This window comes from Homo sapiens, chromosome 19, assembly GCF_000001405.40.
Source record: "Homo sapiens chromosome 19, GRCh38.p14 Primary Assembly".
Taxonomy (NCBI): domain Eukaryota; kingdom Metazoa; phylum Chordata; class Mammalia; order Primates; family Hominidae; genus Homo; species Homo sapiens.
Window position 1 is genome coordinate 3,776,908 of NC_000019.10, and position 26,302 is coordinate 3,803,209.

Here is a 26,302-nt window from a genome sequence, read left to right on the forward strand (position 1 = left end):
AGATGGGTGGATGGTGATTGGGTGGGTGGATGGATGGATGGGTGGATGGTGATTGGGTGGGTGTGGATGGATGGGTGGATGATGGGTGAGATTTTCATGATTGGTTCAGGCCATCATGAAAGAAGCAGAAGTGAGAGACATGCAGAAGTGGGAGAGGCAGGAGCAGGAAGAGAGGGGAACGAAGCCTGGGCTGTGGACCCAGACAGGCCCAGATTCAAATCCAGGCTCTACCATATTTTCTTGGGGCAACCCAGTGTGAGCAACCTGCCCTCTCTGGGCTTCAGCGTCCACGTCTGTGAAATGGGTGTAATCCTGGCACTCACCTCCAGTGGCATTTTGGGGGTCTGACCTGAAAGCACTCAACATGGGGCCTGGCCATGAATGGGGGAGGCAGGAGGAGGAGGGTGGCCTCCCCAGGCCATCCCTAAATGGGGCTGCTGCCACACATGCAGACCCTCCTGGGGCTCCCATCATGGGGGCTCCCATAGGGATATGGATGGCTGGGGCCTGAGAAAGGGCTGTGGTGGGAGGGGAGACTTGGACCTTGAGGGCTGTTGGCAGCCTCCCAAGATCCTTTAAGCCTGGGACCCCATGGGTTGGGAAAGGGTGCCCACCACTGAATACCACATGCCCTGGGGGACTGCAGTGGGGAACCCGTGGGTAATGGCAAGTGGGTCCCCTGCCCAGAATCCCCCAGGGAACGGTGTCCCCACAGTGGCCAGCAGGCAGGTGCCAGCTGGGCAGATCCTCCATGGGCCAAGATGGGGAGGCCCCCGTGTGCAGGCATGTGGCCACAGGAGGCAGGGGCTTGGGGCCGGTGGGTGCCCAAGACTCGGCCAAGGATCAGTGGGGTCCCAATTAATTGATCCCATCATGTGGGCTGCAGTGGGTTCCACAGAGTAGGAAGGTGACCACTGGGGCTGGGGCACACAGGGCATCTAGGGGGGGTGGACCTCTAAGGGAGGACCCAGGATGCCTGGCGCCTGGGGGTGTCCGAGAGCAGATCACCAAAGGTGGCCCCCGGGGAAGAGGGCACGGGGACACAGAGACACACAGGCGCCTAGAGTCCTTAGAATCCGTCTTTATCGGGCGATCATCCTTCGCAGGTCTGGGGTGTCCACGGGCCGCCCAGAGCCCCCTACGTGGGCCAGCCCCTGCTGTGGGCACCAGGAGGATGACTTGCCCGCCTGGACCCTCCTTGGGCCTGGTCAGTGCCCCCACGCCGCACTCTCCACTCTCTCGGTCCTCTGGGGCCAAGGGCCCCACCGGGTGGGGTCAGGGCTCCTGGCTTCGGGGCGAGGTGGAGCCGTCGGCGTCCTGCCCTGAGACGGAGGCTGGGGCACCTGCACTGCGTAGCTCCCGGGCCAGCTTCTCGGCCAGTTTGCGGAAGGGTGGCCGGCGGGCGGGCTCTGCCTCCCAGCAGCTGCTCATGAGGACGTGCACGGGGCCTGGACAGCCCTCGGGGGGTTCCATGCGGTACCCCTTCTCCACGGCCTCCGACACCTCTTTCAGTGACTGCGGACAGCAGGCGTGGGCAGGGGTCAGGGCCACAGCCTCTGGACCTGCCCGGAACCCAGTGCCTCCCTGGGACCCCCGCTCACCATTTTAGGGTACGGAGCCCGTCCATATGAGAAGACCTCCCAGAGCAGCACCCCAAAACTCCAGACATCCGACTTGCTGGTGAACTTCTGTGGGGCCCGAGACGGGGGTGAGGAGGGACCCCTCAGGTTTTCTGCTCCAGCCCCTGCTTCCTCCAGGAAGCCCTCCTGGGTTGACCCTCACTCTCTGGTCTTCTCCTAATTGAGTCCTCCCCCAACGCCGCCCGCAGTTGAGTCTAGCTCAGCCTTAGTGCATGAAGGAAGCCTGGTTATTCTTCCCTTCAGTCCTGAGCCCACGCCTTTTTCAGAGCTGGAGAAACTGAGGCCCAGAGGGGGGCTACGAGGAACAATTATGGGCCAAGAGCTTCCTGGGGAGGCATAGCCATTGCCCTTGGAGTTTCAGAGAGGCCAAGGGACATACCCAGGGTCATACAGCAGAGCTGGGGGGACCCCAAAGCCCCAGGGGTATGTGAAGGCAGGGCTCACCCCGTGTTTGAGAGCCTCGGGCGCCGTCCACTTGACGGGCAGCCGGCTTGAGTCTAGCCCCTTCCGCTCGGCTTTGGCCAGGCCAAAGTCGCTGACCTTGGCCACCAGGTCCTCTGAGACCAGGATGTTGCGGGCGGCCAGGTCGCGGTGCACAAGCTTCTTGCTCTCCAGGTACTCCATGCCCTCGGCCACGTGCCTGGGGGTAGTAGGGGGCAGTGGGGGCTCAGGTGCCAGGATGCCCACATTCAGGGCTCAGAAAGCTCGGGGTGCCTGGGGCCACAAGCTCACAAAGCCTCCCTGCCCCGTGCCTCAGTTTCCCCTTGATGGATCTTGGAATCTGCGCCCCGACGACCCCAGTGCCGCAGCACCCTGAGAGTCCCACTTACAGAGAAAACTGCAGGAGCTGAGCGGTGTTCACGAGGGCTCGACCCCGGGTCCGCAGAAAGTTCACCAGGTTGCCCTGTTGGGGGTGGGAGATGGCCGCGGGATGTTGGGGCTGCTCCGCTGCGTGGGCCCCCTCCCCGCCTGGGCCCCGCCCCACCTTGCTCACGTGCTCCATGACAATGTACAGCCCCTGGTGCAGGATCACGCCCAGGAGACGCACCAGGTTCTCGTGTTGCATCTTCCTGGGGGCGGTGGGGTGGGCGTGAGGGCAGGGCTGGGACCCCCCCCGTCCCACGGTCCCCAGCCCCACCCTGGGACTCACGTCATGACGGCCGTCTCGTCCAGGAAGGCCTGGGCTGTCACATCACACTTGATATTCTTCACGGCCACCTTTTGCCCCAGGTACTCACCCTGCAGGACAGCTGGGGGGTGGGGGTGGGGAACGGGGTGAGATCAGGACCCCCAACAAACAGGGACAGAGAGACAGACGGACAGGCCCGCTCACACCGGTGCCCATGTAACATTCACACAGCTGCGGGTCCCCAGACCTTGAAACACAGACCCCATGCTCCTCACCCCTGCCGCCCTTGCAAGCTCCAGACCCAAGATCAGAGAACCATCTGGCTCTGGCGCGGTGGCTCACGCCTGTAATCCCAGCACTTTGGGAGGCTGAGGCAGGCGGATCACCTGAGGTCAGGAGTTCAAGACCAGCCCGACTAACATGGAGAAACCCTGTCTCTAATGAAAATACAAAACTAGCCAGGTGTGGTGGCACATGCCTGTAATCCCAGCTACTCGGGAGGCTGAGGCAGGAGAATCACTTGAACCCGGGAGGCAGAGGTTGCAGTGAGCCAAGATTGTGCCATTGCACTCCAGCCTGGGTGACAGAGCGAAACTCCATCTCAAAAAAAACCCCACAAAAAACAAAAACAAAGAGAGAACCATCTAAGCCAGGGGTCTGTGAACCCCCACCCCCTCGGGGCCAAATCTACCTATCACCTCTTTTTGCAAGACCCTTCAGCTCAAAATGTTTTTTGCATTTTTATTTTTAATTAATTAATTATTTATTTGAGACGGAGTCTTGCTCTGTCGCCCAGGCTGGAGTGCAGTGGCGCCATCTCTGCTCACTGCAAGCTCTGCCTCCCAGGTCACGCCATTCTCCTGCCTCAGCCTCCCAAGTAGCTGGGACTACAGGCGCCCACCACCACGCCCGGCTAATTTTTTTTTTTTTTTTTTTTAGTAGAGATGGGGTTTCACCATGTTAGCCAGGATGGTCTCGATCTCATGACCTCGTGATCCGCCCGCCTCAGCCTCCCAAAGTGCTGGGATTACAGGCATGAGCCACTGTGCCCGGCCAACATTTTTATTTTTAAAATATTGATACAGGGTCTCACTCTCTCACCCAGGTAGAGTGCAGTGGCGTGATCACAGCTCACTGCAGGTTCAAATTCCTGGGTTCAAGGGATCCTCCCATCCCGGCCTCCTGAGTAGCTGGGACTACAGGCATGCTCCACTGTGCCTGGCTTTTTTTTTGTACAGATGGGGGTCTCGCTACGTTGTCCAGGCTGCACCTGAACTCCTGAGCTCAAGGGATCCTCCTGCCCCGACCTACCAAAGTGCTGGGATTCCAGGCATGAGCCACCGTGCCTGGCTGGTTTTTGCATGTTTAAATGGTTGTAAAAACAAATCAAAAGATGAGTGCTGTTTCAGGACATGTGAGCATTACACAAAATTCAAATTTCTGGGTCATAGTTTTCATGGCCACGCCCATATGTTTACATATTGTCTGTGGTCGCTTTCACTCCACAAGGGCAGGATTCAGTAGTGGTGACAGCAGCTACCTGGCCCACAAAGCAGGAAATATTTACAATCTGGCCTTTTACAGAGAGTCTGCCGACCCCTGATCTAAACCCCAGAGCCTTCCAGAATAATAATTTCAGGGAATGGTGTTTCAAACATTCCAAACAGTGGGACTGACCATACAAGACCCTGGCAGTGTGAAGAAGTCACTAACGTTGACTGAGCGCCTGCTTGAGTTCACTTACTCCTCATGACAGCTGCCATTACCCCCTGTTCCAGAGGGGGAAACTGAGGCTCAGAGGATTTGCACGTCTTCAGCTGCACAACTAGTAGGTGGTTAAGTATGGGTTTGAATTCAGCTCTGTGACTCCAAAGCCTCAATACGCACCTCCCATCTTCCTTCAGCACCCCCAACCCAGTCCGCCACTCACCTCCAAACTCTCCCTCTCCGATCTGTGCTCCCAATGTCAAATGCTGCAGGTTCAGTAACCAGCCCGCTGTGGAGTGAAGACCCAGTCAGAGGGGTAATGGGCCCCCTAAATCCTCCCATTGGGGGTTCTACTTGGTGAGAGACTAGGTGATGTCTCTCACAGTGCTGCAGCTGTGGATACACATTTGAGTGGCTGCTGGGCCTGGCAATGCCCCTAGGACATATCAGAGACACCCCACTCCTGGTACCAATTATTGTTGTTGCAAGCAACAGAACTATCTCAGGTTGACCTGAACAAAAAGGGGCTTACAGGAGGGATAGTGGTGTGAATAGTCAAAGCTGGGGGCCTGCCTGGCTGAGACCCTCAGACCCCACACTTGCCCTCCAGGAACTCCCAGTCAGGCCCAAGGGGTAGTGCCAGGAAACACTTCAGTTCTCAGAGATAAGAGCTGCCCTTTTCTCTTTGGCTCTCTTGTCCCTCCAAATACCCTCTGGGCTCTTCCCTACACAGTTCTTTACCTCTGACCACCCCAGAAACACACACAGAGCAAAAAAACACAACATGGAGACCCATAAAGGTTCCAGAATATTCCAGGGCTCTAGCCTCCCTGACCCTTCTCCCAAGCACTCCTGTGTTGTCCCCTCCACTGCCCTCTGGTCGGTTCTGCAGACGTTCTCTTCTCCCTCCAGAAAGTGCCCCCTCCAAATGCCACGGTCTTAAGAGATCATTGGCCAGGGTGATGCTAGTCTCCACCTGGATGCCATCCCTGATGGGTACAGACTTCCCCAGCAGAGAGATACTTTCAAGGAGACAGACATGGGGTCAGAGGAGGCATTTGCTTTTGACCTTAAATATTGAGGATTTCACTACTTAGGGGCTGGAAAAGCATTTCAGGTGAAGGGAACAGAATATACAATGGCTCAGAGGCATGAAGAAAACGATGATCACAGTTGACCTGGGAGGGGGTGGATGTGTGGAGGAAGGGCTTTGCAGATGAGGCTGGAAAGGTGGCTCAGGCCATGCAGGCAGGTTCTGGAAGGTGGTGGAGCTGCTGGGCCTCTCTCCCTGGAGGCATGGTTTCATGATAGAAAGATAACCTTGAGGCTGCACTCAAGGCCTGGGCTGGAAGGGGGACTCGCCCTCTGGGAAGGAGGCGGTCTGATGGGAGGGCCTGAGGCTGGGCTGTGGGGAGGGGAGGGGAGAAGATTCACCAGGTCTTGGGAACCTGGCCAAGGAGGGAATGCTGGAGGATGGGGTGGGTGGAGGTTCGGGGCCAGGTTTCTGGCTCAGATGGTGGATGATGGTGACAGATGAGTGGCGAAGCTGGGGACCTATTGAATAAAGGACTGATCTGTGTCTGTGGGCACCCCCGAGGCAGCCCAGGTCTTCTATCCCATAGCTGGGCATGGAGACAGGCTTGGGTGATCTGGCCTCAGAGGTGCGGGGCCCCAGGGCCCTTCCTCCCGGACTGGGCTAACGTGGGTAGGGAAGGGGGTCTGCCCTCCTGGGCGTCCCCTACCCCTGGCCAGCTCCTCCTCGGCCGACTTGGTCCCGTGTTTCCGCTTTGGTCTCACCAGCTTGGTGCAGATAGCGCCCTTGTCCTTGCTGTAATGCTGCAGGATGGTGGGACAGCCATGAGCCCAGCCCCAGGGAGGGGAACCCCAGCATCCTGTTCCGTTCCCGGGTGGCCTCTGGGTGGGGTGGGTGGGACCGGGGAGGAGGAGAAAGGCTGGTTTCCATAGGAACGGGAAAGGAGGCAAGCCAAAAGGAGGGGGAGTCCTCTGGATTGGTATCAACTTGGGGGGTCCTGGGGGGTCCCCAGAGGAGTCACTCTAGTCCCTGGAGGTAGAACCAGGCTGACTCAGGCCACCTGTAGATTGGGCAGTCCATAGGGATCAGCCCCCCTATTTCTGCATTAAGGGGAATCCTACTGTGGGGGTCCTCCTGTCTGCCCATCTGAGATGGGATGGGGGCCTGGGGGTGCCTGGGGGGCCCTGGGGAATACCCCCTTCATCTCCACATTGGGGAAGCACAGAGCTCAGGGGGTCCCGGGTGATCAGCACAGGAGGTAGGGATGGTGTCTGCCCAGCTGCTGGGGAAGGGATGGAGGTCAGGTGACCCGCCCCTCTATCTCTACGTAGGGGAGTCTCCGGAGTCCCTGGGCTGCCCCACTGCAGGGACGGGGTGGGGCCTCTGGGTGGCAGCACCTCCACCATGTCCATGAGGTTGCAGAAGAACACGGCCTCATCGATTGTGAGGTGGCCGTCGCGGTGCAGCACGCGGTAGTGGATGACGTCGCGGCCAAAGCTCACGCACAGGACGTAGTCGCCGGGGTGGCGCGCGGACTCCCGCACCAGGAACAGCCCATCCTCGGGAGGCTGCAGCTGCTGGACAGCCTCCTGGCCCGAGATCTTCCCGTGGAACCACCTGCGGCCACGGAAGGGGTGGGTCAGACTGGGCTGTGGAGGGGGGGTCACTTGCTGTCCCCTACCCCAGGCCCCTGTCCTGCCCACTCACGGCATGAGGCTGAGCTTGGGGTCTGCGGAGAGGGCCTCCCGCTCCCGCAGCGCCCCAGCTGCCAGCAGCCCCTCCTGTCCACTGGTGTGGTGCTTGACGCGGTACCAGCTCTTGTTCTGCCAGGGAGGAAGCACGGGGTTAGTGTGGGGGGTGTGGGGGTGGTCCTGGTGGAGCCCCCAGCCCCAAGCACCCACACCCGCCGGCCACCTCTCACCTCGCAGGCCTCCAGGATGGTGACCACGTCGCCCTTGCGGAAGGCCAGCTCCCCTGGCTTGGGGCGGGTGTGCTCGCATTTGGTGATACACTGGGTGCCCGGGGCCCAGCGCCTCTGCAGAGGGGGCCGGGAGAGGGGCAAAGGGAGGACATCACGGAGATGTGGGGAGCAGAGGCACGGGAGGGGAAAGAGGACAGGAGGGAGAAAGGTATAGAGATTGGAAAAGAGCGGAGAGGCAGAGAAAACAGACGCAGACATCGGGGGAAAGAAAGGGGGAGTGGGGTGCTCAGAGAGAAATCGTAGAGTCACAAAGAGAGGCGGCCTGGGACAGAAGGTCAGGAAGCCAAGATGACTGAGAAAGGCCAGGCCGAGGCCAGCAGAAGGGGGTAGGGGGCAGAGAGTACAGCCCTTCAGGAAGGGGTCTCAGGGTGTGGACGGAGTTGAAGAAGGACCCGGGGAGCAGAGGAAGCAGGCTAGACACACTCACCGTTGGCATCCTGGCTGAGACGGGAGGGGGGTGCCAGGCTCGGAGGAAGCGGGGGCTCACCTGGGGAGGGGACAGAGTCCAGGTGGGAGCTGGGCTGGGACCCACGGTCCAGTTCCTACCACTTCCAGCCCAGGTCAGGTGGGGGCGATGGCTGGGCAGGCAGAGAGAGCCTCCCCAGAGGCATCCTGGATGGGACCCAGAACTGGCTCCCCAAGCCCCTGTGGGGAAGTGATCTTTACCCGGGGAAGTTCCTCAGCAGAATCACAGCCGTGAAATGCCCGCCAGGAAACCAGAGAGCCTCGCCCCGCCATCGCCCCCAGAGGGAAACTGAGGCAGGTGAGAGGCACACTGAGCAAGTGGTCACAGTCGGGGACGCTGGGAATGGCCTGCCACAGGCCAGTCGGCTGGCACAGGAGGTAGGGAGCTGGGTGCCACTGGACCGAGCCTGGTTCTTCCTGTTTTCTGGTTGGTAGGCAGGGGCAGGGTGGGGAAATAGGGATGAGTCAAGGTCATTCCCAAGAATCTCTGACCGTGGGGTGGAGCTGGGGGCAGGGGCGGGTCCTGTAGCCCTGCTGGGCTCCTCCGGCCACCCGCTGAGCCTCTCTGATCCCCCCCCAAACCCAGGACAGACACACAAAGTCACTCATTGCTGCAGGGGTGGGGGAGCCTCCCTGCCTCCCCCATCTCCCCGACCGCTAGTGGCTGGGAAGTGGGCGGTGCTGGGGGGTGAGTCTCGGCCCCTCCAAGATGCGCCTCCCATGAAATCCTCCAGTCCCACGTGTACTCACACGCATACGGATGCATGCACACGCACAGAAACACACAGGGCTCGGACACAGCTGCGCGCAGACAAGCAAAGGACCACGTCCACGTGGAAACAGGTGTGCGCACACGTCCCCGCGCATCCGCGCGCACAAGCGCTCCACACCTGGGAACGTGCGCACCTGTCCCCCGCCCCCGGCACACACACAGCCGCCCCACACTGGAACACCTGGGCGCCAGCGCCGGGCCACTCGGGCACGCAGGGCGCTACGCAGGGCCGCGCACACGCTTTTCGGCCACACGCGCACAGCCCTCCACGTGGACGCGCGGGTACACACGCCCGGGGCTCGTAGCCGCGCACACCCGCACCCAGGAAACCCCAGCCACCACCACGCGGGGTCCGATCGCCTCTGAGCACCCTCCGCCCCAGCCGCGCACCCGCTGCGCGCCCGGGACGCGCACACTCGCGCACACACCGGCCCTTCCTGCGCACGTCCCGGGCCCACCCCCGCCTAGAGCCCTCGGGGTTTCCCCCCACCCCGGCCTCGGGGTCTCTCCACGTCTCCCCGCCGACGTGCTCACCTGCTCAGGGGGCGCCCCCGAGCCGCGCCCCGCGCCCGCCCCCAGGAGGGCCTCCGCGAGCCGGCTGCACACCCCGAGGCGGTCCCGGCTGCACAACTTGGAGCGAGTTGCTCCGTTTCCTCATTTTGGGGGCGAAGAAGGGTCGGGGAGTGGGGGAAAGCGGGAGGCGCCGCGGCCTGGGAGGCCCCCGCGGGTCCTAGCGCCGGCCGCACTGCGGTCTCCTCCGCGCGCCGCCGCCGCCGCCGGCCCCTCCCCGCCCCGCCTCCGCGGCCCCCGGCGCCTCCCGCGCGCCCCGGGCGGGGTCCCGGGGCGCACGCGGGCTCCACGCCTGGCCCTGACCTGGCCCTGTCGGGCGTGCACCCCCCACCCACCCTGGGAAGCGGGGTTCTTGGAGCGTGGAACGGGCGCCGCCAGTGCGCGCGGCGGGGACCGGGGGTGAGGGAGAGTGAGCTGCCCGTCCGGGGAGATAAGCAAGGCGCCAAGCCCGGACTCCCAGAGGACACTTCGTACTCTGCAATTCCAACTCCCTCAGTGTCGCCCATTTGAGCACCCACCGTCTCAGAGGGCTATTGGTGGTTGACAAAAAAAAAGCTTTCAAAATGTCAGCCGCTATCAATATCATTATCATAATCATCAACATTAAGGGAAAATTGGAGTAACAGAATCATCGGGAACTGTAATCATCCGGATGCAAACTTCTTAGAGCTGCCCTCCTTGGAGGGTAAAAGGGGGGCCTGGGAGTTGGAGGGACCTGGCTCTGCCCGTAGGTAGGAGGTACCCCTTTTCCAGCCGGGATTTCCTCCCCCATATGGAGGGTGGGGGCCCCACCCGCTTTCACCTCACAGAACAGTTTGATCTCACTTGGTCTTGGTGGACAGGGCCCTGGCCCCCAGCGATGGCTTTGTGGTTGGGGTGACCAAAACGCCCAATCTGCTTTCACCCAATGCAGGCCTTTATCTTTATTTTTATTCATTTATTTTTTGAGACAGGGTCTCACTCTATCCCCTGGGCTGGAGTGCAGTGGCGTGATCATAGCTCACTACAGCCTTGACCACCTGGGCTCAAGCCAGCCTCCCGCCTCAGCCTCCCGTGTAGCTGGGACCACAGGGTAATTTTTTTTTTCCCAAATTTTCATAGAGCCATAGAAGGGGTAGCCTCAGGAGGGGGTGAGTTCCCTGTCCTGGGAGGAATCCAAGAATTGGCCACTTTGCCTTTTTTTTTTTTTGAGATGGAGTCTTGCTCTGTTACCCGGGCTGGAGTGCAGTGGCGCTATCTTGGCTCACTGCAACCTCCACCTCCCGGGTTCAAGCAATTCTCCTTCCTCACCCTCCTGAGTAGCTGGGATTACAGGTGCGTGCCACCACGCCCTGCTAACTTTTGTATTTTTATTTTTATTTTTTTGAGATGAAGTCTCACTTTGTTGCCCAGGCTGGTCTTGGACTCCTGGGATCAAGCGATCCTCCCATTTCGGCCTCCCAAAGTGCTGGGATTACAGGCGTGAGCCACCACGCCTTGCACCTTATCATCCTTTCTAAGGGATGAGTCCTCTGAAACAAAGATGAAGTTCATCTTAGGAGGGCAATGAACCGAGATGCCCAGGTGGCCTGCGCCCATATTTAATCTTCTGTTACCCCAAAAGGCTGTGTGTCTGGACTTGGGGGCATCACATGATTTTGCGGGGAGCAGAGGCCCAGTTACAAGAGAATTACAGAACAGCTATATTAAGGAACATTATGCAGCAGACTAGGAAACTATATTATTATTATTATCATTATTAGAGCTGGGGGTCTCTCTGTGTTGCCCAGGCTGGCCTCAAATGCCTGGGCTCAAGCGAACCTCCTGCCTCAGCCTCCTGAGTAGCTGGGACTACACGTGCACACCATGGTGCCTGGTTAAACCATACTATTATATATATTATATTATTAATATTTATATTATATTATATTATATTATATTATATTATATTATATTATATTATATACCTGGGGCATCCAGGATGCTCTCTCATCTCAATAGCATCAACTTAATCCCATCTGTAGGCTGGGCCCAGTGGCTCACGCCTGTAATCCCAGCACTTTGGGAGGCCAAGGCGGGCAGATCACCTGAGGTCAGGAGTTCTAGACCAGCCTAGCCAACGTGGTGATACCCCGTCTCTACTAAAACTACAAAAATTAGCTGGGCGTGGTGGCACATGCCTGTAATCCCAGCACTTTGGGAGGCCGAGGCGGGTGGATCACGAGGTCAGGAGTTCGAGACCAGCCTGGCCAAGATGGTGAAACCCTGTCTACTAAAAATACAAAAATTAGTCTGGTGTGGTGGTGGATGCCTGTAATCCCAGCTACTCGGGAGGCCAAGGTAGAGAATTGCTTGAACCTGGGAGGCGGAGGTTGCAGAGAGCCAAGATCGCGCCACTGCACCCCAGCCTGGGCAACAGAGTGAGACTCTGTCTCCAAAAAAAAAAAAAAAAAAAAAAATAGAGATGGGATCTGGCTATGTTGCCCAGGCTGGTCTCAAATTTCTGCACTCAAACGATCCTCCAACCTTGGCCTCCCAAAGTGCTGGGATTCCAGATATGAGCCACTGCACTATCTCAGCTCACTGCAACCTCTGCCTCCTGGATTCAAGCAATTCTCCTGTTTCAGCCTCCTGAGTAGCTGGGATTACAGGCACATGCCACCACACCCAGCTAATTTTTGTACTTTTAGTAGAAACAGGGTTTCACCATATTGGTCAGCTGGTTTCAAACTCCTGACCTCAGGTGATCTACCAATGTTGGCCTCCCAAAGTGCTGGGATTATAGGCGTGAGCCACGGCGCATGGTTTACCGGCCTCAACTTTCTTTCATGGGGTTGTAATTTACTATTAGAAGATCTTCTGGGAGGATGCCCGTGTCTACAATTTTAGCACCCACAGCTTCGTGGATCTGGCTGTGGGATAGTCTGGGGTGTGGCTCCCCAGAAAGGGCTGGGGACGCTGCAGCTGTCCTTCTGTCACAGTCACTGCGGGCCCACCATATATGGCAAACCACCATCACTTGCCTGAACTAGAAGTGTTAAGTCAAAATATCTGCAGCGGAAAACCCAGCCGCCTAATTTGATTCTCACCAGAAGCTGCTGCTGACCACGGGTCCCTCGCCGAGGTCTGCCTTCTCTTCGTTCAGCAGGGAAATGTCCCTGCATGAGAGGGACATTTAAGATGCTCTAGCACCCCATGAAGACTTTCTCCTCTTCCTCTCTCTGCAAATCAATGATATTAGTGTCAGTCCTCCCGAGGAGCCCCAGGGCTCCGGGCAGGAGGCCTCACCCCAGAAGAAATAATAAGGGGAACCAAGGTCTTGAGCCCAGAGAAGGGCGGACTTAAGGAGCTGGTGTTGGGTTCGCAAATTGTCAAGGGCTGGCTGGGGCAGGGAGCTCCCCTGACTGGGTGGAGACATAGACACTGAGCTGTGCCTGACTCTAGGGGGATAGATTTGAGCCTGCGGTTTATTTGAATCAGAGCCACAGAAGGGGTAGCCTCAGGAGGGGGTGAGGCATCCAAGAATTGGCAACTTTGCTTTTTTTTTTTTTTTTTTTTTGAGATGGAGTCTTGCTCTGTTACCCGGGCTAGAGTGCAGTGGCCTGATCTCGGCTCACTGCAACCTCCATCTCCCAGGTTCAAGCGATTCTCCTTCCTCAGCCTCCTGAGTAGCTGGGATTACAGGTGCGTGCCACCACGCCCTGCTAACTTTTGTATTTGTATTTGTATTTTTTTGAGATAGGGTCTCACTCCTGTCACGCAGGCTGGAGTGCAGTGGCGCGATCTCAGCTCACTGCAACCTCCATCTCCCGGGTTCAAGTGATTCGCCTTCCTCAGCCTCCTGAGTAGCTGGGATTACAGGTGCCCGCCACCATGCCCAGCTAATTTTTGTATTTTTAGTAGAGACAGGGTTTCGCCATGTTGGCCAGGCTGGCCTGGAACTCCTGACCTCCTGACCAAGAATTAGCCACTTTGAATCACAAAGACTCTAGGGCTCTTTCAGGCCCCAGAGGTGGCCGCACCAGTTTCTAATGCTTCCTGCCAAGGAGCTGGGGGACTCACCCCTTCCTTATACCAGCCTGAGTGGGTAGACTGGACACCCAGATTCCCCCAGTCCTGAACTCCCCACCCTCCACCTCTCATCCTTGGTGACCCCCTGTCAACTTGATTTCAGAAGTTCTCTGATCTGCAGGTCACCCTCCTGGTGCAGGCTGGTGACAGAGCAGTCCCCTTTCTGGCGTCCTGGCTGCCTCCAGGTTTTCACCTTTCACTGCAAAGCCAAGGGAAAGAAACGTGACTGTGTCCTCCCTCACTCTAAATCCTTCCATAGCTCCCCACTGCCTGCAGGAGAGAGCCTAAAATGCTCAGCCTGGCATCCAGGGCTCTTCATGTTTGGCCTCCAGCTGATCTCCCAGGTCCCATTTTCTCCTCCTCCCTCCAAGAACCTAATATTCTAGTGAGTCCGAACTGCAGAAGTTTCCACGCCTTTGCACTGGCTGTTCCCTCTCCCCTGGAATGCCCTTCCCCGCCGTGTCCAGCTGGCCTCTCCAAGCTCACTCTCCCACACACAACTCATGTGGCACCATTTGGGGAAAGCCTTCCTCAAGGACATCCCCATACTTCCTAGAGCAAGGTCTCCCTGAAAGGGCCCCTTGCTAGAGGCACTAGCTCTCTTGTCTCACTGTGTGATAGGTGTGAGCCTGGCCGTCTCTCCTTGGTCTTGGTGACTGAGCCCATTAGCCTGCCTGAGAAGGAGGCCAGCCTGGAGGAAACAGAGCCAAGAAGCAGGGAGAGACACTGAATCCCAAGGGAAAGACTGGTTCCGTATCCTTAGAACCAGCGATGCCTGGAATTCACGTGACACCTAGTTTTAGCAGCCAGTCTTTCTTTTTTGATTTCTTCCCGAGGGGGTTCTGCTGCTTACAATCAAAGGGATTCTTAATACTCAAAATAGTACCAGAAGTGGGGAGTTAAAATTAACAGACTAATGTGGAATTGCTGAGTCAAATTAGATTCCCTGATCCCAGCTGGGAAGAGGGATGCCTCGAGCTTCTCTTTCCGAGAGTCCATAAACCTGCCTTCCATTCCCTGAGTCAGGCGGCACCAGGCTTCTGTCCTTTGCAATGCAGCAGCCCAGTGGACACAGTCATCTCTCCACCTCCCCCCACTTTTTTTTTTTTGAAACAGAGTATTGCTCTGTTCCAAGACGAGTCCAGTGGCACGATTTCGGCTCACTGCAAACTCTGCCTCCCGGGTTTAAGTGATTCTCCTGCCTCAGCCTCCCAAGTAGCTGGGATTACAGGTGCCCACCACCATGCCTGGCTAATTTTTGTATTTTTAGTAGAGACGGGGTTTCACCATGTTGGCCAGGCTGGTCTCGAACTCCTGACCTCAGGCGATCTGCCCGCCTCGGCATCCCAAAGTATTGGGATTACAGGCGTGAGCCACCGCACCCAGCCTCCACCTCCTCCCCTTCTTGAGTGTTTTTCTATTTCTTTCCTATCCAAATCTCACAGTTCTTCACATATCACTCTCCTCCCATAGACCCCCCTCTGGCTGTCATAATCTGCCTAACCCACTACTCTCCAAATTCCTAGAGATCACTGAGACCAGTCTTCTCATTTGAGAAGTAGAACAGCTGAGGCCAGGCACGGTGGCTCACACCTGTAATCCCAGCACTTTGGGAGGCCGAGGTGGGTGGTTCACCTGAGGTCAGGAGTTCAAGACCAGCCTGGCCAACATGGCAAAACCCCGTCTCTACTAAAAATACAAAAATTAGCTGGGCGTGGCGGCGGGTGCCTATAATCCCAAGTACTCAGGAGGCTGAGGTAGGAGAATCGCTTGAATCCAGGAGGCTGAGGTTGCAGTGAGCCAAGATCGCACCACTATAGACCAGTCTGGCAACAGAGTGAGACTCCATCTTAAAAAAAAAAAAAAAAGTGTAAAGTGGAACAGCTGAGACCCAGAGAGGCAAGACTACTCATCCTTGATCACACAGCTGGCTGGGGGCTAAACCTCAGGCCTGTAGACTCCCCTGATTGGATTGCAAACTTCTCTAAGGCAGGGCACGATTCTTATTCTTCTCTACAAATACTGTTGGAAATCATAGTAGGCAATAAACATAGTAGGTGATGAGTCATATGACAGATACTTTACAAAATTTATCAGTCAGGGTTGGGATTGGCTGGCTGGGATGGAGAACTTCAAACGCTAGAGGCTTGAAATTGATAGAAAGGCATCGTGACTGAGGCAGGCAATGCTGGGCAGTGTTAGGGACTGGGCTCCTGCCTCTTGTTCAGCCTTTTTCAGCACATGAATTTCCAACTCTTTTTTTTTTTTTTTTTTTTTGAGATGGAGTCTCGCTCTGTCACCCAGGCTGGAGTGCAGTGGTGCGATCTCAGCTCACTGCAACCTCTGCCTCCTGGGTTCAAGCGATTCTCCTGCCTCAGCCTCCCGAGTAGGTGGTATTACAGGTACCTGCCAGCCACCATGCCCGGCTAATTTTTGTATTTTTAGTAGAGATGGGGTTTCACCATGTTGGCCAGGCTGGTCTTGAACTCCTGACCTCAGGTGATCCACCCACCTCGGCCTCCCAAAGTGCTGGGATTACAGGCGTGAGCCACCGTTTCCAGCCTCACAATTGAACTTTCTGAACCTGGAGGACAGGCCGGGGTGGGGAGGCCACTGCAGCCAGACATGGGGACACCTGAGCCGCCATGGCCTCCATGGAAGCCGTCCCCGGCCTAGCCGTCCTCGGCTGGAATCTGCAGTTAGATCACACTGCCCCAGTTAGCAAACCTTTAAATTTAGCTTCCTCCCCCCAGCCAGGGGACTCCGGGATTGAGGGGAGGAACGCTGGCTCTTTCGAGGAAGAACGCTGCATCACTCATTCTGCAACCAGTCGCTGTCTGCCCGGCCATTCTCGATTCCTTGAACGAAGGGCCTCTTGGGGCGAGCTGCTTTGGGCGTCTTTGCTGGAAAACCCTTGCCCCGTCTTCCTCGTCCTTAAGACGCAGCCGGACAGGTTGTTTTCCAGCCACACTTGCAGGTTTCATCCGTGGAAACTGGGTCTGTGTCACATCCGGCCTTAAAAGCTTCCCGGCTGGGCGTGGTGGCTCACGCCTGTAATCCCAGCTCTTTGGGAGGCCGAGGCTGGTGGATCATCTGAGGTCAGGAGTTCGAGACCAGTCTGACCAACATGGTGAAATCCCGTCTCTACTAAAAAAATACAAAAATTAGGCCAGGTGCGGTGGCTCATGCCTATAATCCCAGCACTTTGGGAGGCTGAGGAGGGTGGATCACGAGGTCAGGAGATCGAGATCATTCTGGCTAACATGGTGAAACCCCGTCTCTACTAAAAATATAAAAATTAGCCAGGTGTGGTGGCGGGTGCCTGTAGTCCCAGCTACTCGGGAGGCTGAGGCAGGAGAATGGCGTGAACCCGGGAGGCAGAGCTTGCACTGAGCGGAGATCACGCCACTGCACTCCAGCCTGGGCGACAGAGTGGAGACTCCATCTCAAGAAAAAAAAAAAAAATTAGCTGGGCGTGGTGGCATGTGCCTATAATCCCAGCTACTCGGGAAGCTGAGGCAGGAGAATCACTTAAACCTGGGAGGTGGAGGTTGCAATGAGCTGAGATCAGGCCACTGCATTCCAGCCTGGGTGATAGAGTGAGACTGTCAAAATAAATAAATAAAAAATAAATAAAATAAAAGCTTCCCATGGTTCCCACTAAGCTCAGTGTGCCTCCCGGTGCTTTGTCACCTCTGCGGTCCAGTGGCTGTCACCTCTCTGCTCCCAGCTTCTCCCTTGTCTCCCAAAAGCTCAGGCATGGGGCAGCCACAGGACCTTTGCACATGCTCTTCCTATCTCCTAGTACTACATCCTTCCCCCAGCTCTTCTCAAGGCCAGCTACTTCTCTGCACTTTCAGCTTCTCCAAGAGACCCTCCCTGGCCACCCCACAGTGGTCACCCTTAGTTACTCTCTATTGTCAAAGCCGGAATCCCCACCTGTTATCCTGTCTCACTCGTCATTGTCAATCTCCCTCCATCCTTGCTTCCCACGACAGAATATATCTTCCTAATGAGGGTAACGACCAGCCCTGGGCCCGGCAACCATTTAGGTCTGGAGCCTGGCACATAAAAGGCCCTTACAGAAGCAGATGAGAGGGTAAAGTCTGAGGAAGGAGGCCAGGCATGAAGGCTCACGCTTGCAATCCCAGCACTTTGGGAGGCTGAGGTGGGAGGATTGCTTGAGCCCTGCCATTGGAGACCAGTCTGGCCAACATAGTGAGACCCTGTCTCTACAAAAAATAAAATAAACTAGCTGGGTGTGGTGGTGTATGCCTGTAGTCCCAGCCACTCAGGAAGCTGAGGCAGGAGGATCACTTGAGCCCAGGAGGTTGAGGCTGCAGTCAGCTATGATTATGCTACTGCACTCCAGCCTGGGCAACAGAGCAAGACCCTGTCTCAAAAAAAGAAAAGAAAAGATCAAGTAAGGAGAACAGGAGATACACATTATTCCGGAATAAACCAGTCATGTCTACTCAAGAGCAGCCCCTAAGTCTCTCCTCCAGGATCCCTCTTCATCCTCTCATGACCTCATGCTCTAACTCAGGGCCCAGCAAACTGTCTCTCTAAAGGGCATGCTGGTCTCTGTCCCAACTACTCAGCTCTGCCATTTCAGGGACACCATAGATAACACAGAAGCCAAAGACCGTGGCTGCATTCCAATAAAACTTTATTTATGGACATGGACATTTGACTTTCATATTACTTTTCTTTTCTTTTGCTTTTTTTTTTTTTTTTTTTTGAGCTGGAGTCTCGCTCTGTTGCCCAGGCTGGAGTGCAGTGGCGTGATCTTGGCTCACTGCACGCTCCACCTCCCAGGTTCACACCATTGTCCTGCCTCAGTCTCCCATGTAGCTGGGACTACAGGCGCCCGCCACCACACCCGCCTAATTTTTTGCATTTTTAGTAGAGAAGGGATTTCATCGTGTTAGCCAGGATGGTCTCGATCTCCTGACCTCGTGATCCGCCCACCTCGGCCTCCCAAAGTGCTAGGATTATGGGCGTGAGCCACCAAGCCTGGCCTTTTTTTTTTTTTTGAGACAGAGTCTCACTCTGTTACCCAGGCTGGAATGCATTAACGTGATCTCGGCTCACTGCAACTTCTGCCTCCTGGGTTCAAGCAATTCTCATGTCTCAACCTCCCAAGTAGCTGGGATTACAGGCATGTGCCACCACACCCGGCTAATTTTTGTATTTTAGTAGAGATGGGTTTCATGTTGGCCAGGCTGGTCTTGAACTCCTGACCTTAGATGATCTGCCCACTTTGGCCTCCCAAAGTGCTGGGATTACAGATATGAGCCACCATGCCCGGCCTCATATGACTTTTCATATGTCATATAATATTGATTCCATTTTCCTCCAACTATTTACAAATGTAAAAAAACGATTTTAGCTGGAGGAGTTGTGCGGATACAGATGGCAGGTTGGACTTGGCCCTCAGACTGTAGTTTGCTCTCCGCTGCCTTCTCACAGTCTTTATTTTCTCATAAGTAGGTGCTTTTTTTTTTTTTTTTTTTTTTTTTTTTGAGATGGAATCTCACTGTTTCGTCCAGGCTGGAGTGCAGAGGCGTGATCTTGGCTCACTGCATCCTCCGCCTCCCAGGTTCAAGCTATTCTCCTGCCTCAGCCTCTTGAATAGCTAGGATTACAGGCACGCGCCATCACGCCTGGCTAATTTTTGTATTTTTAGTAGAGATGAGGTTTCACCATGTTGGCCAGGCTGGTCTCGAACTCCTGACCTCAAGTGATCTGCTTGCCTCGGCCTCCCAAAGTGCTGGGATTACACGTGTGAGCCACCAGCTGTATTTTTCAATCTGTTAAATTAAATGTGCTGATACTCATGGCATGTAATAAGCTCTCAAGAAGTGTTTAAAAAAATAAAACTCAAAATATATAAATAAAGCTCCTCAACTCAGCAATGAGCCTCTCAAGGGTAAGTATATTCTTGTTGGTATGAATAGCAGCTGATATTTATAGGGTGTTTTACTGTGTGCTGAAGACAAAGCAATATAATGTCCCACTCCTCAGGGGTTGCTGTTGCTGTTTTCAGGTATTTACCTCCATAGTTCCAAGTAATGTGTTTTACACATCCCTTGATTTATCAGTTGGATGTTGTCCATTGACTTCCTATTCCAGAAGGTCAAGATTTAGCTCTCTTAGGCATTCTGCTCCCCCAACAGTTAAATCACAATTTTTGCTTAAATGAAAATTCAGTGCTTATAGTATATATATTAATATAAATATTATTGACAGTGGAGCAATGTATACTAAGAACATTATTTTCTGGGACCTGCTTTTTTATTTCCCTGGAGTTAGTCATCGCCTTGGTTTTATGTGTCTGTGACTCTTTCCCCCAGCCTCTCCACCAGAACTGACATCTCCACTCAGGACTTTCTCCTACTGCCCAGCTGTGATCCTGGCCCCTCTCTTCTTCGGCACAAGGGGATTCTTAGATATAGCTCCTGTTTCTTGGGTGTGGGTCTCCCTGTTTCTTGGTTTGGTCCCTTGTTTTAGGAATGTGCTCCCCCTAGGGTTTCCAGAGAAAGTGTTTTCCTCCTACTCTCCTGGGTAATTAGAGGTTTGGCTGACAGTATTGTAGGTGGATACTTTTCTTTTGCCCAATGTTTTCCAGCTTCTAGTCTTGGGCAGCTGAATGATCAGAAGTTGTCCTGTTTCCTCATACTTTGCCTGTCCCATGGTTAATTTCTGTCTCTCTCTCTCTCTTTCTGGAAGCTTGTAGAATCTTCTTGTTCCCTACATCCTGCACTTTCACAGTGGTGGGTTTGGTGTGGGTCTGTTTTCAACCATTGTGCTGAGTACTTGGTGGGCTCTTTCCTGTGTTCTCTTCCTGGCAAACTTTCTTGAATGATATCATTGGTGATTTCTTCCACTTTGGTTTCTCTGGCGTGTTTGTGGAACACGTTATTGTCATAGGGTGGACTTCTTGGATTGATGTTTTCATTTTCTTGCCTACCTTCCCCCCCACCCCCCCACTTTCTACTTTTTCTTCCAACCCTTCTATTGACATTTTAATTTTGACTATTAATTTTTTTTTTTTTTTGAGACAGGGTCTCACTCTGTTGCTCAGGCTGGAGTGCAGTGGTGCAATCACAGCCCACTGCAGCCTCGACCTCCTGGGCTCAAGTGATCCTCCTGCCTCAGCCTCCCAAGTAGCTGGGACTACAGGTGCCTGCCACCATGCTGGCTAATTTTTTTGATTTTTAGTCTCACTATGTTTCCCAGGCTGGTTTCAAACTCCTGAGCTCAAACAATCTGCCTGCCTCAGCCTCCTGGAGTGTTGGGATTACAGGCATGCACCACCACACCCAGTGACTGTCAGAGTTTTAATTTCCAAGAGCTCTTTCTGGTTCTTTTACCGTTCCTCTTTAAAGGACAAACTTGGCTGTGTGTGGTGGCTCACGGAGCTCAGGAGTTTGAGACCAGCCTGGGCAACATAGTGAGACCCCAATCTCCAAATAATATGTAAATAAATAAAAGAATTTCTTGGCCCAGTGCAGTGGCTCACACCTGTAATCCCAGCACTTTAGGAGTCTGAGGCTGATGGGTCACCAGAGGTCAGGAGTTCGAGACCAGGCTGGCCAACATGGTGAAACCCCATCTCTACTAAATATACAAAAATTAGCCGGGCATGGTGGCTCATGCCTATAATCCCAGCTACTTGGGAGGCTAAAGGAGGAGAATCGCTTGAACCTGGGAGGTGAAGTTTGCAGTGAGCCAAGAACACATCACTGTACTCCAGCCTGGGTGACAGAGGGAGACTCCATCTCAAAAAATAAAAAATAAAAATAAATAATAAATAAATAAGTAAATAAATAAAGGCAAACTTATACTTGTTTCCTGGCTGTTATATCCTCTATGAGCTCTCCGAGGATAAGATGCATACAGGTTTTGTTTTTTTCTGTTCTGTGTTTGAATCAGGAACATAAGGATTTTTCTAGAACTGTTTTCTTCTGCCCTCTTTGTCTCTCCTTCAGGTTACTTTTCTTTTCTCTTTGTGGGTTTTGGTCTCTCTGTTGACTAACAATTATGATGGAGTGCTACAGAGCTGACGGAAGCCTCCTCACCACAGGGCGGCCTCACTGTGGGGTGGTTGGCGGGTGGGGGTGGGGGTCACTGGGCAGGAATCCCGAAACATTGGCAGCATCTGGAAGGCTTTTCTCATAGCCTGGCATCCAGCGTTCTAGAAGCCACAAGAGGTTAGACATCTGGGGTTGTGACTTTAATGGCCTGGATTTTTTATTTTTTTTATTTTTTTGAGACAGAGTTTTGCTCTTATTGCCCAGGCTGGAGTGCAATGGCACAGTGTCAGTTCACTGCAATCTCTGCTTCCCAGGTTCAAGTGATTCTCCTGCCTCAGCCTCCCAAGGCTGGGATTACAGGCATGTGCCACCAAGCCTGGCTAATTTTTTTTTTTTTTGGTAGAGACGGGATTTCACCATGTTGGTCAGGCTGGTCCTGAACTCCTGACCTCAGGTGATGCACCTGCCTCAGCCTCCCAAAGTGCTGGGATTACAGGCGTGAGCCACCGTGCCCGGCCTGTTTTTTTTTTAAGGCAGGGTCTCACTCTGTCGTACAGGATGGAGTGCAGTGGCGTGATCATAGGTCACTGCAGCCTCAACCTCCAGGGCTCAAGTGATCCTCCTGCCTCAGCCTCTCAAGTAGCTGGGACTATAGGCATGCATCATCATACCTGGCTATTTTTTTTTTTTTTTCAGAGATGGGGTCTTGGTATGTTGCCCAGGCTGGTCTCAAACTCCTGGGCTCAAGTGATCCTCCCGCCTTAGTCTCCCAAAGTGCTGGGATTACAAGCATGAGCCACTGCACTTGGCCTTAATAGCCCATTTGCACAGCCCCTCATCCCTGCCCTCCATGGCGCCTGGGTCCCTGTGCCTGAACCTTTCTGTGCAGCAAGCATTTTAAAATGCATTTTCTTACTGAATTCTCCTCACAGCTCTCTGCACAGTTGGGGACTACCAGTTTGACCCCAATTTTATGGAAGCTTAAGGCGGTAACATGAGCTGTCCCCACACTCCATAGCTGATAAGTTAAAGGGCCACGCTGTGACTAGAGCCCAGAGTCACCCTCACTGCGTGAAGTGACGGCTTCTGGCTCATCCTTGGGTGTCCCAAGGAAGGCAGTGAGTGTTTGCTGATTGTCTATGGAATAAATGTCAACATCCTCAATGGGAGAAATAGGGAAACCACATGAATGAAGGCCCAGCACACATCACAGGTGTTCAACACACAGACGGAATTAATGAGCAACTGAAAGAACAGGAGTTGAGGCCGGGTGTGGTGGCTCACGCCTGTAATCCCAGCACTTTGGGAGGCTGAGGCAGGTGGATCACCTGGGGTCAGGAGTTCGAGACCAGTCTGGGCAACGCAGTGAAACCCCATCTCTGCTAAAATACAAAAAAATTAGCTGGGTGTGGTGGTGGGCGCCTGTGGTCCCAGCTACTTGGGAGGCTGAGGCAGGAGAATCACTTGAACCCAGGAGGCAGAGGTTGCAGTGAGCTGAGATCACACCATTGCACTTGAGCCTGGGTGACAGAGCGAGACCTTGTCTCAAAGAAAAATAAGATGTGTCAGCCGGGCGCGGTGGCTCACGCCTGTAATCCCAGCACTTTGGGAGGCTGAGGCGGGAGGATCACGAGGTCAAGAGATCGAGACCATCCTGGCTGACACGGTGAAACCCCGTCTCTACTAAAAATACAAAAAATTAGCTGGGTGTGGTTGCAGGCGCCTGTAGTCCCAGCTACTCGGGAGGCTGAGGCAGGAGAATGGCGTGAACCCGGGAGGCGGAGCCTGCAGTGAGCCGAGATTGTGCCACTGCGCTCCAGCCTGGGCAACAGAGCGAGACTCCGTCTCAAAAAAAAAAAAAAGAAAAAAAGGAAAAAAGAAAAATAAAATGTGTCTTGTAGGGTCATGAGAAGAATTAAATTAGATAATAAGCACACAGTAAATAGGTGATGAATCAATGTCGTTATAATACCAAGTGAAGAAAAGCAGGAAGCAAGATGGTAAAAATGACCCACCCATAAACAACAGGGCATTAAAGAATAGAGAGCAGGATGGCCGGGCGTGGTGGCTCAGCCCTGTAGTCCCAGCACTTTGGGAGGCCAAGCACTTTGGGAGGCCGAGGAGGGCGAATCATCTGAGGTCAGGAGTTTGAGACCAGCCTGACCAACGTGGTGAAACCCCATCTCTACTAAAAATGCAAAAATTAGCTGGGCGTGGTGGCAGGTGCCTGTAATCCCAGCTACTCAGGAGGCTGAGGCAGGAGAATCGCCTGAACCCAGGAGGCGGAGGTTGTGGTGAGCCGAGATTGCGCCACTGCACTCCAGCCTGGGCAACGGGAGCAAAACTCCGTCTTCAGAAAAAAAAAGGAAAAGAAAGCAGAAGGGAAATGGAGTGTTCACAGTAGCTGATAATTTTGTGGTTGTTTTGTGATTGTTTTGTTTTCCTTCTTCCATTTTTCTGGATTGTCCAAGTTTTTCATAATGGGAAAAACCCAATTCATGAGTAAAAACATTTATGTGGAAAAACACATGTAACAAAATTTGCCATCTTAATCATTTTTTATTTTTATTTATTTATGTATTTTTGAGACAGAGTGTCGCTCTGTCATCCACGCTGGAGTGCAGTGGCGCAATCTCGGCTCACTACAACCTTGGTCTCCAGGTTCAAGCGATTCTCCTGCCTCAGCCTCCTGAGTAGCTGGGATTACAGGTGCCCACCACCACGCCCGGCTGATTTTTGTATTTTTAGTACAGACGGGGTTTCGAACTCCTGACCTCAAGTAATCCGCCCGCCTCGGCCTCTCAAAGTGTTGGGATGACAGGCGTGAGCCACCGCGCCCGGCCGATGCTTCCTAATGCATTTCGTTTGCAAAATTTGGGAGTGACCGTTTTCTACCCAGAGGTGGCTTCTCCACCTTAACCAGGAAAGCGGGTCTTAATCCGATCACCTGAGACACCTTCTCAGTCCCAGAAGCTAAACTAGGGAGGCATCCCGGGACAAGACGGGCAACAATCTTTTCCCAAACGACCCCCGAGCCTGGCCAGGGAGATGCTGCCTGCAAGGCTGACTGTGACTGGGCCGGGGGACTCAGGGCATCTTAGCGGCCGCCTCTCGCTCCTGTCCGTGACCTTGCAGATGCAGGTGACAGCCTGCCCTTCCGTTTTTGTCTTTCCAGTCCCGCCTGCCGGATTGGGTTCCAGCCCTGCCCACACGCCCGGTACATCCCGCCTACACTCACCGATGTCGCCTAGCAACCCGGCTCGCAGCTAGCATCCGCAACCGAGGTCCCCGCGCTCCAGTTCTCTGGCGGGGAGGGAGAGGGGTGTTGCTTCTCCAGCCCCCTGCAGCCTGGTGTCTTCCTGCCACCCGCCGGCCTGCTCCGGGAACCGCGGCCTGGTGGGACGAGGGTTGCGGAGGACGGGTCAGGAGCGACCGCGTTTCAGGCCCGTGGACTCCGCAGCCCAGACGGTCCATCCATCTGCACCGAATCCCTTCGCTAACCAACTGCTTGATTTTGCTGTCGCGCCGCCTAAACTTGGTTTTTTGGAGTTGCTAGGAGGGCCGACTTAACTCTTTGTCAGCCGGGCTGGTTTTCACCCACCTGGTGGCAGGAATCCTGTTTGCCTTCCCCGGGAGCCAGGGATGGGAACGGGAACTGTGGGTGGGAGGCTTCCGAGAGCCGCCTCTCCCGGGGCATAAGGAAGGAAGCGGGGCTGCAGGTACCGCCTGGGGTTCACAGCAGGGGACGAGGTGCCTCCCACCAGGGGCTGCTGTGATCGCCAGGCCTGCCAGGGTGTGCCCCTTCCCCTGTCCCTTCCCTCTGTCCCCACAGCCTTGGCTGGAGTCCCTCACCGGTAACGAGACAGAGACAAATGGTGTTCTCTGTCTTTCTGAGACAGAGTTTTGCTCCTGTTGCCCAGGCTGGAGTGCAATGGCGTGATCTCAGTTCACCACAACTTCTGCCTCCCGGGTTCAAGCGATTCTCCTGCCTCAGCCTTCCAAGTAGCTGGGATTACAGGTGCCCGCCACCACACCCAACTAATTTTTGGTATTTTTAGTAGAGACAGGGTTTCACCACGTGGGCCAGGCTGGTCTCGAACTCCTGACCTCAAGTGATCCGCTCGCCTTGGCCTCCCAAAGTGCTGGGATTACAGGCACATGCCACTGCACCCGGCCGACAAATGGTATTCTCATAACCACCAGAAAGAGACACGTCCTCTGGTGTCAGAGCGTGGCTCTGAGCACTGAGACCGACTCAGTTGCTAGCGTCCACCTGGCCTGCCCGAGATCTGGGAATACAGTGGTGATCCAATTGATGGTGAGAGGCTTCCTGACAGGCAGAGAGTTCACATTCTCAAGGGGAAGACAGATACCAAATCGTTTCAAAGATGCATGGTTTAAAGTCAAGGAATAGGCCAGGCGCGGTGGCTCACGCCTATAATCCCAGCACTTTGGGAGGCTGAGGTGGGCGGATCACCTGAGGTCAGGAGTTTGAGACCAGCCTGGCCAACATGGTGAAACCCCGTCTCTACTAAAAATACAAAAAATTAGCTGGGCGTGGTGATGTAGGCCTGTAGTCCCAGCTACTCGGGTGGCTGAGGTGGAATAATCACTGGAACTCAGGAGGCGAGGTTGCAGTGAGCTGAGATCGAGCTGCTGCACTCCAGCCTGGGAGACAGAGACCCTGTCTCAAAAAAAAAAAAAAAAAAAAAAGGTGGAACTGGAATTGACAAGACATCCTCATGGATTGGCCGGGAGCACAGAGGAATCCAGGAGGCCTCCCTGGTTGTGCTGGCTGTCACCTTGAGCCCTGGGCAAATGGCGGTGCTGCTGCCGCGATGCTGACGGAGAGAGGGGCTGTGTGTGGACGGAGTGTGTAGCAAGGGAGTGAAGTTCCCAAGAAATCTGGGATAGAG

General features: G+C 54.6%; 1 protein-coding gene across 6 annotated transcripts, besides 6 other annotated features; it reads right to left on the reverse strand.

Moving 5' to 3' along the window:
- Window positions 1,066-24,892, reverse strand: MATK (megakaryocyte-associated tyrosine kinase). 6 transcript variants are annotated; one of them, NM_002378.4, is made up of 14 exons: window positions 24,625-24,892; window positions 12,366-12,497; window positions 7,918-7,977; window positions 7,431-7,544; window positions 7,217-7,332; window positions 6,907-7,126; window positions 6,219-6,312; window positions 4,700-4,765; window positions 2,791-2,890; window positions 2,626-2,710; window positions 2,471-2,544; window positions 2,085-2,280; window positions 1,602-1,688; window positions 1,066-1,515 (listed from the first exon to the last, which is right to left on the reverse strand). In NM_002378.4, exons 2-14 carry the CDS (start codon window positions 12,438-12,440, stop codon window positions 1,276-1,278), a joined length of 1,527 nt encoding a protein of 508 aa, NP_002369.2. In that variant the 5' UTR covers window positions 12,441-12,497; window positions 24,625-24,892; the 3' UTR covers window positions 1,066-1,275. The 6 variants fall into 6 exon arrangements, with proteins under 6 accessions (NP_002369.2, NP_001427507.1, NP_647612.1 ...); NM_001440578.1 differs by lacking the exons at window positions 12,366-12,497; window positions 24,625-24,892 and adding exons at window positions 8,157-8,379; window positions 9,262-9,474 and having other exon boundaries at window positions 2,635-2,710; NM_139355.3 differs by lacking the exons at window positions 12,366-12,497; window positions 24,625-24,892 and adding exons at window positions 8,157-8,379; window positions 9,262-9,474.
- Window positions 4,870-5,070: a silencer, noted in NCBI's record as "peak3254 fragment used in MPRA reporter construct". NCBI's record gives its function as "represses an SCP1 promoter by STARR-seq MPRAs in K562 erythroleukemia cells {active_cell/tissue: K562}" and the evidence as "EXISTENCE:reporter gene assay evidence [ECO:0000049][PMID:32103011]".
- Window positions 7,907-8,902: an enhancer, noted in NCBI's record as "H3K27ac-H3K4me1 hESC enhancer chr19:3784812-3785807 (GRCh37/hg19 assembly coordinates)". NCBI's record gives its function as "activates a minimal SCP1, AML or CMV promoter by ChIP-STARR-seq in naive and primed H9 embryonic stem cells {active_cell/tissue: H9 hESC(naive and primed)}" and the evidence as "EXISTENCE:reporter gene assay evidence [ECO:0000049][PMID:30033119]".
- Window positions 8,264-8,558: a silencer, noted in NCBI's record as "tiled region #208; HepG2 Repressive non-DNase unmatched - State 20:ReprD". NCBI's record gives its function as "represses a minimal TATA promoter and a strong SV40 promoter by Sharpr-MPRA in HepG2 cells {active_cell/tissue: HepG2}" and the evidence as "EXISTENCE:reporter gene assay evidence [ECO:0000049][PMID:27701403]".
- Window positions 8,264-8,558: an enhancer, noted in NCBI's record as "tiled region #208; K562 Activating non-DNase unmatched - State 4:PromP". NCBI's record gives its function as "activates a minimal TATA promoter and a strong SV40 promoter by Sharpr-MPRA in K562 cells {active_cell/tissue: K562}" and the evidence as "EXISTENCE:reporter gene assay evidence [ECO:0000049][PMID:27701403]".
- Window positions 10,433-10,631: a silencer, noted in NCBI's record as "fragment chr19:3787338-3787536 (GRCh37/hg19 assembly coordinates)". NCBI's record gives its function as "represses an EF-1alpha promoter that drives an FKBP-Casp9 reporter gene in an ReSE screen in K562 erythroleukemia cells {active_cell/tissue: K562}" and the evidence as "EXISTENCE:reporter gene assay evidence [ECO:0000049][PMID:32094911]".
- Window positions 12,220-12,420: a silencer, noted in NCBI's record as "peak3255 fragment used in MPRA reporter construct". NCBI's record gives its function as "represses an SCP1 promoter by STARR-seq MPRAs in K562 erythroleukemia cells {active_cell/tissue: K562}" and the evidence as "EXISTENCE:reporter gene assay evidence [ECO:0000049][PMID:32103011]".
- Window positions 24,893-26,302: the final 1,410 nt, after the last annotated feature.

Excerpts from the sequence above, each read along its gene's own strand:
- MATK (NM_002378.4), bottom strand. The coding sequence starts at position 12,440 with ATGCAGGGACATTTCCCTGCTGAACGAAGAGAAGGCAGACCTCGGCGA. Across the intron at positions 7,333-7,430 it reads CCATCCTGGAGGCCTGCGAG|AACAAGAGCTGGTACCGCGT; the intron begins GTGAGAGGTGGC and ends CCTCCCTGGCAG. Across the intron at positions 4,766-6,218 it reads CGAGGAGGAGCTGGCCAGGG|CGGGCTGGTTACTGAACCTG; the intron begins GTAGGGGACGCC and ends TTCACTCCACAG.